The 13,873-nt window shown below is 38.7% G+C and overlaps 1 protein-coding gene and 1 long non-coding RNA gene across 2 annotated transcripts; one reads left to right on the top strand and one right to left on the bottom strand.

Moving 5' to 3' along the window:
* Nucleotides 1–7,412: 7,412 nt before the first annotated feature.
* Nucleotides 7,413–11,090, bottom strand: LOC105377275 (uncharacterized). The gene is made up of 2 exons (XR_938875.3): nucleotides 9,088–11,090; nucleotides 7,413–8,547 (listed from the first exon to the last, which is right to left on the bottom strand). It is a non-coding gene; the product is annotated as an uncharacterized LOC105377275 (long non-coding RNA).
* Nucleotides 11,091–11,345: 255 nt separating this feature from the next.
* CXCL3 (C-X-C motif chemokine ligand 3) lies at nucleotides 11,346–13,446 on the top strand. Its single transcript, NM_002090.3, has 4 exons — nucleotides 11,346–11,523; nucleotides 11,622–11,745; nucleotides 11,859–11,942; nucleotides 12,758–13,446. Exons 1-4 carry the CDS (start codon nucleotides 11,424–11,426, stop codon nucleotides 12,771–12,773), a joined length of 324 nt encoding a protein of 107 aa, NP_002081.2. The 5' UTR covers nucleotides 11,346–11,423; the 3' UTR covers nucleotides 12,774–13,446.
* The last annotated feature ends 427 nt before the right edge of the window (nucleotides 13,447–13,873 follow it).

Here is a 13,873-nt window from a genome sequence, read left to right as displayed (position 1 = left end):
CACATCCTCTCCAGCACCTGTTGTTTCCTGACTTTTTAATGATCGCCGTTCTAACTGGTGTGAGATGGTATCTCATTGTGGTTTTGATTTGCATTTCTCTGATGGCCAGTGATGATGAGCATTTTTTCATGTGTCTGTTGGCTGCATAAATGTCTTCTTTTGAGAAGTGTCTGTTCATATGCTTTGTCCACTTTTTGATGGGGTTGTTTGATTTTTTTCTTGTAAATTTGTTTAAGTTCACTGTGGATTCTGGATATTAGCCCTTTGTCAGATGGGTAGATTGCAAAAATTTTCTCCGATTCTGTAGGTTTCCTATTCACTCTGATGGCAGTTTCAACAAAGAAGATTACTATACAATGACAAAGGGATCAATCCAGCAAGAGAATGTAACAATTCTTACTATATATGCATCCGGTACTGGAGCACTCAGCTACACAAAGCAAATATTACTAGATCAAAACAAAGAAAGACTGCAATACAATAAAGTAGGGGACGTCAACACCCTTTCCCAGCATTAAACAGATCATCTTGATGAAAATAAACAAGGAAACATTGGGTTTAAACTGGACTTTAGACCAAATAGACCTAAGAGACATTAATGGAACATTTTATCCAGTAACAGCAGAATATATCTTCTTTCTATAAAATCATGGACTATTATCCAGAATAGAACATATGTAAGGCCACAAAACAAGTCTCAACAAATTTTTAAAAATCAAAATTATATTAAGAATGTTCTCAAATCAAAATGAAATAAAATGAAAAATCAATACCAACAGGAACACTGGAAATAATAGAAAATCATGGAAATTAAAGAACATGCTCTTGAATGATGATTGGGAGAAGAAAGGAATTAAAATGGAAATTTAAAAATTCCTTAAAAAGAAGAAAATGGAAATACAACATACTAAAACCTGTGGGATACACAGTGCTAAGAGGGAAGATTACAGGAATAAAAGCCTACATTAATAGGAGAATAATCACAAACTAACAATCTAGCAATGCACCTGTAGGAACCAGAAAATCAAGAACAAACCAAAGCCAAATATAATAGAAGAAAACAAATAAAGATCAGAGCAGAACTAAAGGTAATAGGGACAAAAAAATACAAAGGATCAACAAAAGAGTTGGTTATTAAAAAAGATAAACAAAATTGAAAATCCCTAACTGATTAACCAAGAAGAGAGAAGAGAAAATCTGAATAAACAAAATTAGAAATGAAAAAGGAGATATTGCAACTGATACCATAGAAATACAAAAGATAATCACAGAGTATTATGAATAACTATAGACCGACCATCAGGGAAACCTATAGGAAATGAATAAATTCTTGGAAACACACAACCTACCAAGACTGAATCGGGAAGGAATAGAAAATACAAACAGACCAAAAATGAGTAGCTAGATTGAATCAGTAATAAAAAGTATCCCCAAAAAGGAAAACCCAGAACCAGATGGATAAACAGCCAAATTCTACCAAATGTACAAAGGAGAACTAATACCAATCCACTTGAAACTATTCCAAATACTTAAAGAGGAGGAAATTACCCATATTCTATGAAGCCGGCATTACTCTGACAATAAAACCAGACAAGGATACAACATAAAAAGAAAACTACAAGCCAATATACCCGATGAACAGAGATGTCAAATCCTCAACAAAACACTAGCAAACTGAATAAAACAGTACATCAAAAAGATAATACACTATAATCAGGTGAGATTCATACCAGGGATGCCAAAATGGTTTGATATACACAAATCAATAAATGTGATATATTACTTCAACAGAATGAAGTATAAAAACGATATGATAATCTCAATGAGTGCAGAAAAATCATTTGATAAAATGAAGTGTCCTATCATGATAAATACTGTTTACAAATATGCATAGAAGAAACATACCTTAAAATAACAAAAGCCATATATGACAAACTCAGAGCCAACATAATGCTGAATGGAGAAAAAGAGAATGCCTTTTCTCTAAGATCTAAAACAAGACAAAGATGACCATTTTCGTTACTCCTCTTCAACATAGTAATGTAAGCCCCACCCAGGGGAATCAGGCAAGAGAAATAAATAAAAGCCATCCAGATTGGAAAAGAGGAAGTCAAATTGTCCCTCTTTACAGATGATATGGTCTTATATGTAGAAAAACCTAATGACTACAACAAAAAAAGCCTTAGATGTGATAAATGAACTCAGTAAAATTATAGGATTCAAAATCAATGTACAAAAATTAGTAGCCTTCTATACACAAATACTGATCTAGCTAAGAATGAAATAAAGATGGCAATCCCATTTACGATAGTTATCAACAACAGCAACAAAATTAAAGTACCTAGGAATAAATTTAACCAAGGAGGTGAAAGTTCTTGACAAGGAAATCTATAGAACACTGATGAAATAAATTGAAGATGACAGAAACAAATGGAAAGACACTTTATATGCTTATGGATCAGAAGTATTAATATTATTTAAATGACCATGTTGCCCCAAAAAATCTACAGATTCAAAGCAATACTGATGCCATTCTTCACAGAACTTAAAAAATTACTAAAACGTATATGGAATGAAAAAAGACCCTCAATACCCTAAGAAATCCTGAACAAAAAGAACAAAGTAGGAGGCATCACATTATCTGACTTCAAAATATATTACCAGGTTATAATAACCAAAACAGCATGGCATTGGCATAAAAATAGACACATTGAGCAATGGAATAGAATAGAGAAGCCAGAAATGAAGCCACATATTTACAGCCTATTGATCATTGACAAAGCTGACAAAAATATACATTTAGGGGAGGATACACTGTTCAATAAATAGTGTTAGGAAAACTGGATGGCCACATGCAGAAAAATGAAACTGGACCCCTATCTCTCACCATATACAAAAAAACTACACAAAATTAATTAAAGACTTAAATATAAGAGCTGAAACTATAAAAATACTAGAAGAAAATCTAGGCAAAACTCTCCTGTACATTGGTTTAGGCAAATAATTTATGACTAAGATTCAAAAGCACAGGCAACAAAAATAAAATAAACACACTGCACTTACTTGAAATAAATGCTTCTGCACAGCAAAAGAAATACTCAACAGAGAGAAGAAGCAACCTGCCAAATGGAAGAAAATATTTGTGAATTATTCTTCCAAAAGGTACCAATAACCAGAATATTCAAGCAACTAAAACAACTCAACAGGACAAAAATGAAAAAAACTCCACAAATAATCCCATTAAAAAGTGGGCAAAAGAGATGACAGAAATTTCTCAAAAGAAGACATAAATGGCCAACAGGTATGTGAGAATATGTTCAACATCACTAATCATCAGAGAAATGCAAATAAAGCTCACGATGAGGTATAATCTTACCCCAGTCAGAATGGCTATTATTAAAAAAGACAAAAAAATGACAATGTTGGTGAGGATGCAGAGAAAAGAGAACTTTTTTTTTTTTTGAGATGGAGCCTTGCTCTGTCACCCAGGCTGGAGTGCACTGGCGCGATCTCGGCTTACTGCAAGCTCCGCCTCTCAGGTTTCCGCCGTTCTCCTGCCTCAGCCTCCCAAGTAGCTGGGACTGCAGGCGCCTGCCACCACGCCCGGCTGATTTTTTGTATTTTTAGTAGAGACGGGGTTTCACCATGTTAGCCGGGATGGTCTCCATCTCCTGACCTCATGATCCGCCTGCCTCAGCCTCCCAAAGTGCTGGGACTACAGGCGTCAGCCACCATACCTGGCCGAGAACTTTTATACACTGTTCTTGGGAATGTAAACTAGTACAGCCACTATGGAAATGTCTCACAACACTAAAAATAGGATTACCATTTGATCCAGCAACCCCACTTCTGTGTATCTACCAAAAGGAAAATAATATATCAAATGAATACCAGCACTTACGTATTTATTACAGGACTATTCACAATAGCAAAGATGTGGAATCAACCTAATTGTCCATCAATGGAAGAATGGATAAAGCAAGTATGTATATATACAACTGGAATACTATTCAGCCGTAAAAAGAATGAAATTATGTCATTTACAACAACATGGGTGGAATGTGAGGTCATTGTCTTAAGTGAAATGAGCTAGACACTAAAAAACAAACATCACATGTTCTAACTTATATGTGGAAGCTAACAATTTGAACACATGGAGGCAGAGAGAGGAAAAATAGATAAGAGACTGAGAAGGGTAAAAGGGAGGGAAGGGAAAGGATGAAGAAAAGTGAGTTAAAGGGTATAAATGTACAGTAGGATAAATGGAATAAATTTAATGTTTGATAGCAGCATAGGATGACTGTACTTAATAAAAATGTATTGTACTCTGGTGATGGACATTCTGAATATCCTGATGTGATCACTATGCATTACATACATGTAACAAAATTTCTCATGCACCCCATAAGTTTACAGAAATTAAAAATCCCACAGTTTGTCAACCAGTGTGTCTATAAGATTATAAAACATACAGGACATGTGGTGATGGACAGCCTGTTTTAATTGTCTTCCTAGTAAAGGAAAGAAGAAAAGTAAATACATCTTGGATGTAAATGTTCCAAATATTTATTTCTTCACTGAGTCAGACACAACATGGGGATTATATCATTATCCAGAGGCCGTAATTAGAGGCAATAAAAACTGAAAGTAGAGCGGACAACAAGCAGAGTTGGAAAAAATCCGTTTTACCTATCAGCTGTGTTGGAAAATCAGTCTTTTTTTCAATCTAAGGATGACTATAGAAACTACTAGGAAACAAGGCATAAAGAAATTTGTACTTATGTCCATCAGAATACCTATTAAGTTGCACTGTGATTATTCATTTATCTGACTGTTTTTCTACTTTAAAACAGGGAGTAAGTGTCAAGCTTTTTTCATCTCTTCATTCCGGATCTCAGAAAAATGCCAGGTAGAGTAGGTGCTAAATAAATGTTTGTCAAATATTTATTACATGAAGAGGAATAATACCGCAGTTAGTGCTGTAATGTAACAGCGCAGGTGGGTACTGAGGATAAGGCACCCAGCTAACAGAAAGTTGATTGAACATTAAAGACACCATTTTCCCAACTCCTGATCTTGTTAGGCTCACAGGTCTCACCAAGTTAGTCATAGACATTCCAACGGCCTTATGCTATTTTTCCTGTCAGTGACTTGTTTGATATTTTAATTAGACTCACATTTGAAACTATTAGGGATTCTGTTAAGAACCTGTCCACCCACATGCTCCAGTCATACACAGATACTAATATGAGCACATTAAACATTATTTGATTGAAGACATTTACTTCTATGTATAACATACAGTAGTAATGACACACAACCAAGCTCTTGTTTCCCCATTTTCACTATAATTTCCACCATGTCTAATTGGATCCCGTATTTTTTGTCTTTAACTACTTCAAAAATGTCAATCAATGAACTAGCTCAGTAACACACCAGTAGAGCAACTCTGAAACCAGCATTGTATAGAAGTCTTTACTGAATATAAGGACAGAACCCAGAAGGAAAAAATCAAAACAAAAATATTTCTGACCAAAAAATTGGACAATAAATAACCTTGACAAATACTATGGATTGGCCAAGCGCAATGGCTCATGCCTGTAATCCCAGCACTTTGAGAGGCTGGGGTGGGTGGATCACGAGGTCAGGAGTTCGAGACCAGCCTGACCAGCATGGTGAAACCCTGTCTCTACTAAAAATACAAAAATTAGCTGGGCGTGGTGGCGTGCACCTCTAATCCCAGCTACTCAGGAGGCTGAGGCAGGAGAATCCCTTGAATCTGGGAGGCGGAGTTTACAGTGAGCCAAGATTGCACCACTGCACTCCAGCCTGGGCAACAGAGCAAGAGCAAGACTCTGCATAAAAAAAAAAAAAAAAAGTTATGGTTAGGACACTTAAGATCAAGTTTTTATGATGACTCAAACTTTTCTTAGATGAAATCTGTGTTTTTATGCTATGCATGCTATTTTCATTTGTGGTTTATACATTCATCTTCTAACTTCCTAAATTTTGTTTCCAGAATACTAAAGTCATAAGGATGTTTTAATCTTCAAAACAAACTTCTTATGTAATTATTTCCAAGGGACATTTTCTCATTTCCTTATTCTTTTGCAATTTTGGCAATCCTATGTTTTGTTGTTTTCATAATATATGATCATGATGTTATTTATTTAATGAATCCCACTTCCAGAAAGTTTAGGAAACAATCTTAACAAAATGAAGAGGCAAAACAATTTATAAAAACACTTTTAAATACAAATAATTGCCCATTCTTCCACCCCCCACCCAAGAAAACCGACCAAAGCTAAAATATTGAATGATTCTCAGTGTTACATGAATGATTTTAAGTACTTGCATATTGATCATATCACGAGATTATTATACCAGGAACAGAAAAATAAATGATCTGGCATTACAAAAGAAAGTAGACAGATTAAATGAAGAATTTTGTGTTAGAAGTCGGATTTGATCCAACTTTGTCTCTTCTACTAAACCTATCACTGTGCCTTATATGCATAGATTAATTTTAAGTGTACCGGAAGAAAGAGAAGCTGCCAGACAAGCAGTCTCCAGGAGGCTAAATAGAGAGGACCATGAATTCAGCACGCACCATGGCCTTGGACTGTGGAGGTGGACTGATTCAGGAATCTAATGTCATGTTCACACATCTTCATTCTTCTCTGCTCTGAGCCAGAGTCATTACATTGGAAGAGATGAGTATAGGGAAATAGGGATAGCAATTGTGAGGAAGAAGTTCCTAAATCAGTCTGGGGCAGAGCAGGGTTGCCCTCCTTATTTGAGCATGGTTATTTCTCAGGATGGAGCAGTGCCTAAGTTTAGGCTCCTCCAAAATGCAGAATTTGAGTCATGAGCCTGCCATGCAGGTAATTTATTTGGGGACATATTACCAATGCAGAGGACTTGAAAGCTGGGAAGAACAAACTAGGAAAAGAGGACATGGGCAACTGGAGTTCAATTCTACTGGGGACCCTCTGAGAAATGGTGTAGAATTTCTGCCCAAAACATGCAAAAGAGGGAAACATTTATCCATTGACCCCAGTTCCTCTTGTGAAAGGGATGTTTCCTGGCAGCAACAGAGAAACACTGGGCCACAAAGTGAAAGATACCTGATTCAGCTGAGGCCAGGAGTTTCCAGGTGACATCTGCAGGCAGCTAGTGTTGTAGCAGTGACTGGAGAACAGGTGGCCTAGGAGATGTGAGCACCGAGATTTGACCGTCTGCCAGTTTTGTAAGGTTCCATAATGATTACAGGGCAAATGGAATTTGGCCACCAAAGCTTCCATTTTTAAAGATTCTTCCATTTCTTTAAGAATTTTTGCTTGAATAAGTTTAAAGACTGCATAAAATTCTGGCATTCAACTGTTGAAAAGAAAATAGGCTTGGAGAAACACTTGCTCTAACAAGACAATTTATTTTTGTAGTCAACAGCATTATAAGCTTTGGCTTATGAAGATCTCATTGATACAAGCGGCATGTTAGGGAAAAACACCACCACCACCAACAACAACGAATCCTCTCCTTTATACTTCATTTACAAAAACAAGTGATTCTGATGACATTTTCCTCAGGAGTCAAGTTCTGCATAACCTGCAAATGTCCACGGCCTCTTGACATGTTTCATTTGCATTATTCTCTTGGCACTCTCCTTGTGTTGGGTCTGGAGAGCATGATAGCAAACACTTTCTGATTTTCTTCAGTTATAAGAACTAAATGAGAGATCTGGAAAACATAATGCTGAAGGCAAAGTATTTAACACTATGAAGCATGATGAACTGCCCAAACTGCGGCAACAGATATTTTGAATTTTCATATTTGAGCAAATATGTACTAAATCAAAATTCAATTTCCTGTCTAGAAAGCTAGCAGGTAAAACATGCACATGCCCTGATTTCATTTTGGTGGTATTCTAAATGGATTTAGAAAAATAAACTTAGAAAAAAATGAACTTAATTGGGACAATTTTCAATTTACAAACATTGCAAAGATAATACAGTGTCTGTGTGCCCTTCATCCTTTTTCCCTGACAGTGAACATTTTACAACAGCACGGAACGTCTGTTAAAGCTAATAAACCACCAATGACACGTTACTTTTAACTAAACTCCAGACTAAGTTGTGTTTCACCAGCTTTTCCATTAATATCATCTTTCTGTCCCAGGATCCTATCCAAACTACCACACTGCAATGAGTTGTCACTTCTCCAGTTTCCTCTGGACTGTGATGGTTTTTCAGTCTTTTATTGTTTTCATGACCTTGACAGTTTTGAAGAGTACTGATTAGCTTTAGGAGTCTTCAGTATGAGTTTGAAGAATGTTTTTTATCATAACTAGATTTGGGTGATGAATTTTTGGAAGTGGTACCAAAGAGGCATCCTGCTTATGCCATTCTTATGACATCATATCAAGTGGGTACATGATATCCATATGACATCACACTGAAGACGTTTATCTTCACCATTTTTTTAAAGAAGTAGTTTGTCAGCTTTCTCCATGGAAAAGTGCCTATTTTATTCTTCAGAATTGGGCACCTTAAGGAAAGATAATGAGCTACATCAATGCCACAGGAGAGAGTTATGCTGTTAGTGAAACAAAACTACAAAGATATATTATCGTTTTGATGTATTTTCATTTTAAAATATGTAAATTTAAGCTATTCAACTAGGTCAAGAACAAATACATTTTTAAAAATCCTTCCTCCCCTTAAAGTACTAATTATATATCACAGTGCATTTTTACCATAGTTTAATGGTTAAGAGCCATTTTCTCTGGGTTTGATTTCCAGCCTCAAGGATGTATGAAGTTAAGCAAGTGACTTAATCTCTCTGTACCTCAGTTCCTTTGTTTGTAACCATTAAGTCCCATAAAGATAACAATTAATATCTACTTCACAGTATTGTTTGGAAGATTGAATGAGTCAATATTTGTAAAATGCTTAGAAGAGCATTAAATAAATTCTCTGCCCCTTGTCTCTGGTGCAGAGGTTTAACTTGCCCATAGCATGAAGTTATTAAATAAAAAAGCAGCATGTTCCACATTTACCCAGAATCTTGTAAGCTCTTATCATTTACCTTATGTTTGCTGAAGAAAAACAAGCAAATTTTTAATGACCTCCCATCTATGTGCATCTCCTGGTAAAGTACAGATGTGTCTTCCTTTCTGAAAGCCTTCCTAAATTAAAAACATTTAACTTTTTTGTTTTTTATAAATTCCCAATTGAACTTTATTTTTCATTTATAAGTTTGCAGCATTTATTACAGCTTGAAACTGCAGAAGACATTTGGGACACTATTTTGGCCTCCATTGGGTCAATGTTTTTTCTGTATCTATCCTTTCTTTCAAGGAATTTAAGTAGTCAGGGAGATGTGAGAGAGGAAATTATTGAAAAAGAATGGAGCATATATATTACCTATAGTGTCTATTTTAAAGTAACAGGACATTCTAGCACACCTTTCTATCCCTTGTCCAAGATTATTGTAATGACATCACAGATACCCGTGAGCACCAGTAACTACAAGACCATTTTGGAAACTGGGATTGTGGTGTTTATATGAACATTCTTCTTTCTAGGATGTGCTTTGATTTCTTAAGGACTCACACTGCTTTATATCAGTTAGAGACAGGGAGAGTTGGGTGGCAGTAAGGGATACAGAAAATTTTAAATGTGAAAAACACTGGGGAGTAAAACTTTCCATTAGATTCTTCTTTTTTCCTTTACAGAATTCATAGCAGGCTGAGTTTTTGTTCAGGCAATGTCGGGAAAGAAATAGCCTTTTAAAAATGGAAATAGTCCATTTTATTTATTTAACAACCATTAATAAGGCACTTAATCCATGTTGTCTCTTACAAATGTTAACTCATTTCTCATAACCACCTTGGGCTAGGCACAGAGAGGCTTAACAACTTGCAAGTGATACTCTGCAACTAAATACAGGCAGCACAGTTGCACGCTCTGTGTTTGGTTAGGGGCAAGGACTCTTATCCCTTGAGCTGGGTTGTGTAGAGCCCTGTGCTTCAGGCAGATGCCATTCCTTTCTCCTCTCCTCCATCCTACTCCACGTCTCAAAGAGGTCTGAGACCAACTTGTAGAATCACACTTAAACCCTCTAAAACCTAATGACAAATCAAAATACATTATCTAAAACTAGAAAAAGGGACAAAGGTGTCAGGTTAAAAGACTGAAAATCCAGACGAGAAAAAAAAGTGCCCTGTTAATGTTTCCAGAGAAAGATCCCCCAGTGCTGAATACCAGAAAATTCTATAGTAAATGAAATGTGATTTTATGTGTGATCTGGTGTTTAAATGTCATCAGCAGGCAGCTGTTTGCTCCTTCAGTGGGAATGGTGTTTGCACACCAGGTACCTACTCTCTAGTGTCATTCGCAAAGACAGAACCAGAAACATTGAGCCCATGATCCTGCTGGACCCAGCCCCTCCACAGCTTCAGAGTGACAGCCAGTGTCATATTTCTAGATCAAATCTGAATCCCTCCCACTGGGAGAAGGTCTCCAGGGGATTTAGGAAGTTCCAACATTTCAGAGGGAGGAAGGACGTTATGCAGGATACAAAAGAAGAGGTCATGTTATACAGCCCTGGCTTCCACGGACACTAACACTGAATTCAAATTTTGACACTGATAATCTGTTGCCACCAAATGGAAAACGTAAACAAGGTATTCTAAGTGTGATTAGAGAATATGCAAAACAAGGAACAAGTAGAACATTCTTCTCTGGAATCCGAGACGATGGCTGTACTTTCACAGAGAGCATGATGTTAGATGTACATGAAATAACGCTAAACCGAAAATGAGAGAGGCAGAGACCGGGAGGTTAACATAGAGGATAGACTATATAGAGAGAGGATAGCTGAGGGAAAACTCGCCTGTCTCCGGGTCCCCAGCAAATCTGATAACTAAGGAGACAAAGCTCTCTTCCTCTAAAGAAGTCGTGCCTTTCCTGTCCTGGTTCTCACGGGTCCCCCCAGCTCTTTCCTCCAACCCTACCCCGTACGCGGGGGGTCATCGGGGACCTAAGGTCCCCCCTCACAGGCTGTATCTTCAGCGAGGTGGACTCACTGCCTCTCCAGGAATTTGGGGCAGAAAATGAATATCCCAAAGTCCCAGAGTGCACGGGGGTTACTCTGGAGGGCGAGGCGTAGGCGTCACCAGTGGGCTCCCCCTACCCGTATCCGACTCCACCCCGGGGGCGGGGCCGTCGCCTTCCTTCGGGACTCCGGATCGATCTGGAGCTCCGGGAATTTCCCTGGCCCGGCCGCTCCGGGCTTTCCAGTCTCAACCATGCATAAAAAGGGTTCGCCGATCTTGGGGAGCCACACAGCCCGGGTCGCAGGCACCTCCCCGCCAGCTCTCCCGCTTCTCGCACAGCTTCCCGACGCGTCTGCTGAGCCCCATGGCCCACGCCACGCTCTCCGCCGCCCCCAGCAATCCCCGGCTCCTGCGGGTGGCGCTGCTGCTCCTGCTCCTGGTGGCCGCCAGCCGGCGCGCAGCAGGTGGGTCCCGGCGCCCTGGGGTCCCCGGGCCGGACGCGGCTGGGGTGGGCGCCCCGCGCCGACAGCCCCGCTCAATCAGCGAGTCTATTCTTCCCTAGGAGCGTCCGTGGTCACTGAACTGCGCTGCCAGTGCTTGCAGACACTGCAGGGAATTCACCTCAAGAACATCCAAAGTGTGAATGTAAGGTCCCCCGGACCCCACTGCGCCCAAACCGAAGTCATGTAAGTCCCGCCCCGCGCTTCCGCTGCCACCGCTGGGGTCCCCGACTCTCCCGCTGCCCCAACCCTGTCCCCAGCCCGACCTCCTGTCTCACGGAATTCCCTTCTCTCTGCAGAGCCACACTCAAGAATGGGAAGAAAGCTTGTCTCAACCCCGCATCCCCCATGGTTCAGAAAATCATCGAAAAGATACTGAACAAGTGAGTTGTAATTTCCATATACACAGGCGACTGGAGCCGTTGGTCAGAAATACTGGCATCTGCCCCCTAAAAATAAAATCAGGGAACCCCAAGAGTTAGCTGAAGGACTAGAAATTGTGATTATTATTTTCACAATTAAAGTTGCCATTAAGGTTATTAATCTGCTCTGGTGCCAGAGGATATTTCAGTATTTCAGTGTCTTCCATTTCCAGGCCTAACCCCTGGGAGGGTAAATGTGGGTTTCTAGAATACTAAGTAAATTTGACTAACAATGCCAAAATGCCCCCTGCCTGTTTTGGGACGTTTACCTCAGTCCCTAATGGGCTTCAGACCTGAAAAATGCAATGTCTGGTTTGGGCACTTTGGGCCTGTAAGCCTTCTTGGTGAAGAGCAGAAACTTTGCAGTAACACCTTCAGTGAGTTCAAGGCTAGGATCCCTGTCAACGTTATTTAATCTCTTTGAGCTTTAGCAAAATAGGGTAGATAATGGTAGTTATTTCATAGGGTTGTGTGCAGCTTAAGGGAGATCATGAATGGACATTTCTAACCCAATGTGACAATCAGTGACCAATATGTTTTGGCTTTTTCAAACCAAGAATCTAGTTGAGTCCACAGCCACTTCTTTCTTGAAAAAAAAAAAAAAAGCATTCAGGAGTGCAAGTTTTCTGCTATAGAAGGCAGTGGGTACAGACAGACCTTCCCTGAGTGGAGGGCTGGGAGAGAGTCTGCATGGGGACATCCCTCCAAGCAACTTCAGAGTGACAGAAGAGCAGCCTTCCTTAGCACCTGCAACAGTAACCCTTTTCTCATCACAGGGGGAGCACCAACTGACAGGAGAGAAGTAAGAAGCTTATCAGCGTATCATTGACACTTCCTGCAGGGTGGTCCCTGCCCTTACCAGAGCTGAAAATGAAAAAGAGAACAGCAGCTTTCTAGGGACAGCTGGAAAGGACTTAATGTGTTTGACTATTTCTTACGAGGGTTCTACTTATTTATGTATTTATTTTTGAAAGCTTGTATTTTAATATTTTACATGCTGTTATTTAAAGATGTGAGTGTGTTTCATCAAACATAGCTCAGTCCTGATTATTTAATTGGAATATGATGGGTTTTAAATGTGTCATTAAACTAATATTTAGTGGGAGACCATAATGTGTCAGCCACCTTGATAAATGACAGGGTGGGGAACTGGAGGGTGGGGGGATTGAAATGCAAGCAATTAGTGGATCACTGTTAGGGTAAGGGAATGTATGTACACATCTATTTTTTATACTTTTTTTTTAAAAAAAGAATGTCAGTTGTTATTTATTCAAATTATCTCACATTATGTGTTCAACATTTTTATGCTGAAGTTTCCCTTAGACATTTTATGTCTTGCTTGTAGGGCATAATGCCTTGTTTAATGTCCATTCTGCAGCGTTTCTCTTTCCCTTGGAAAAGAGAATTTATCATTACTGTTACATTTGTACAAATGACATGATAATAAAAGTTTTATGAAAAAAAAGGCTTATGTGGTTTTTCAAAAAATTCTTCTTGACTTTTAGTTCTTCCCAGGCACCCAAGGTGTTATACAGTTAGGCTGCAGGTTCTATCTAAATCTGTGCCTGCTTCTAGCTGTCACTTCCCTTATATTTCTCTTATTCAAAACGGACTATCCGATGCTTTTAGAAAGTACATACTACCCCCCAACCACTTTGATAATTCTAATTTTGTATAACATTTAGCTGTTTTTCACATTGACCAATTTGTTATTCAAAACTAGTTCTTTACAAATTTTTGAATGTTATTGATATTTTAACATGGGCGTCTGCTAGATCTGCTAGATGCTTTTGGTAAACGGTTTCTCAAATACTTATGCAATTCTTTCCCGTTTAACAAGGTTGGGAGCAAAAGGTAGAAAAGTTGATTCTGCCTTAGAACTAAAAAGAATT

The sequence above is a fragment of the Homo sapiens genome, chromosome 4 (assembly GCF_000001405.40).
Source record: "Homo sapiens chromosome 4, GRCh38.p14 Primary Assembly".
Taxonomy (NCBI): domain Eukaryota; kingdom Metazoa; phylum Chordata; class Mammalia; order Primates; family Hominidae; genus Homo; species Homo sapiens.
This window is presented reverse-complemented; position numbering and strand designations above follow the sequence as displayed.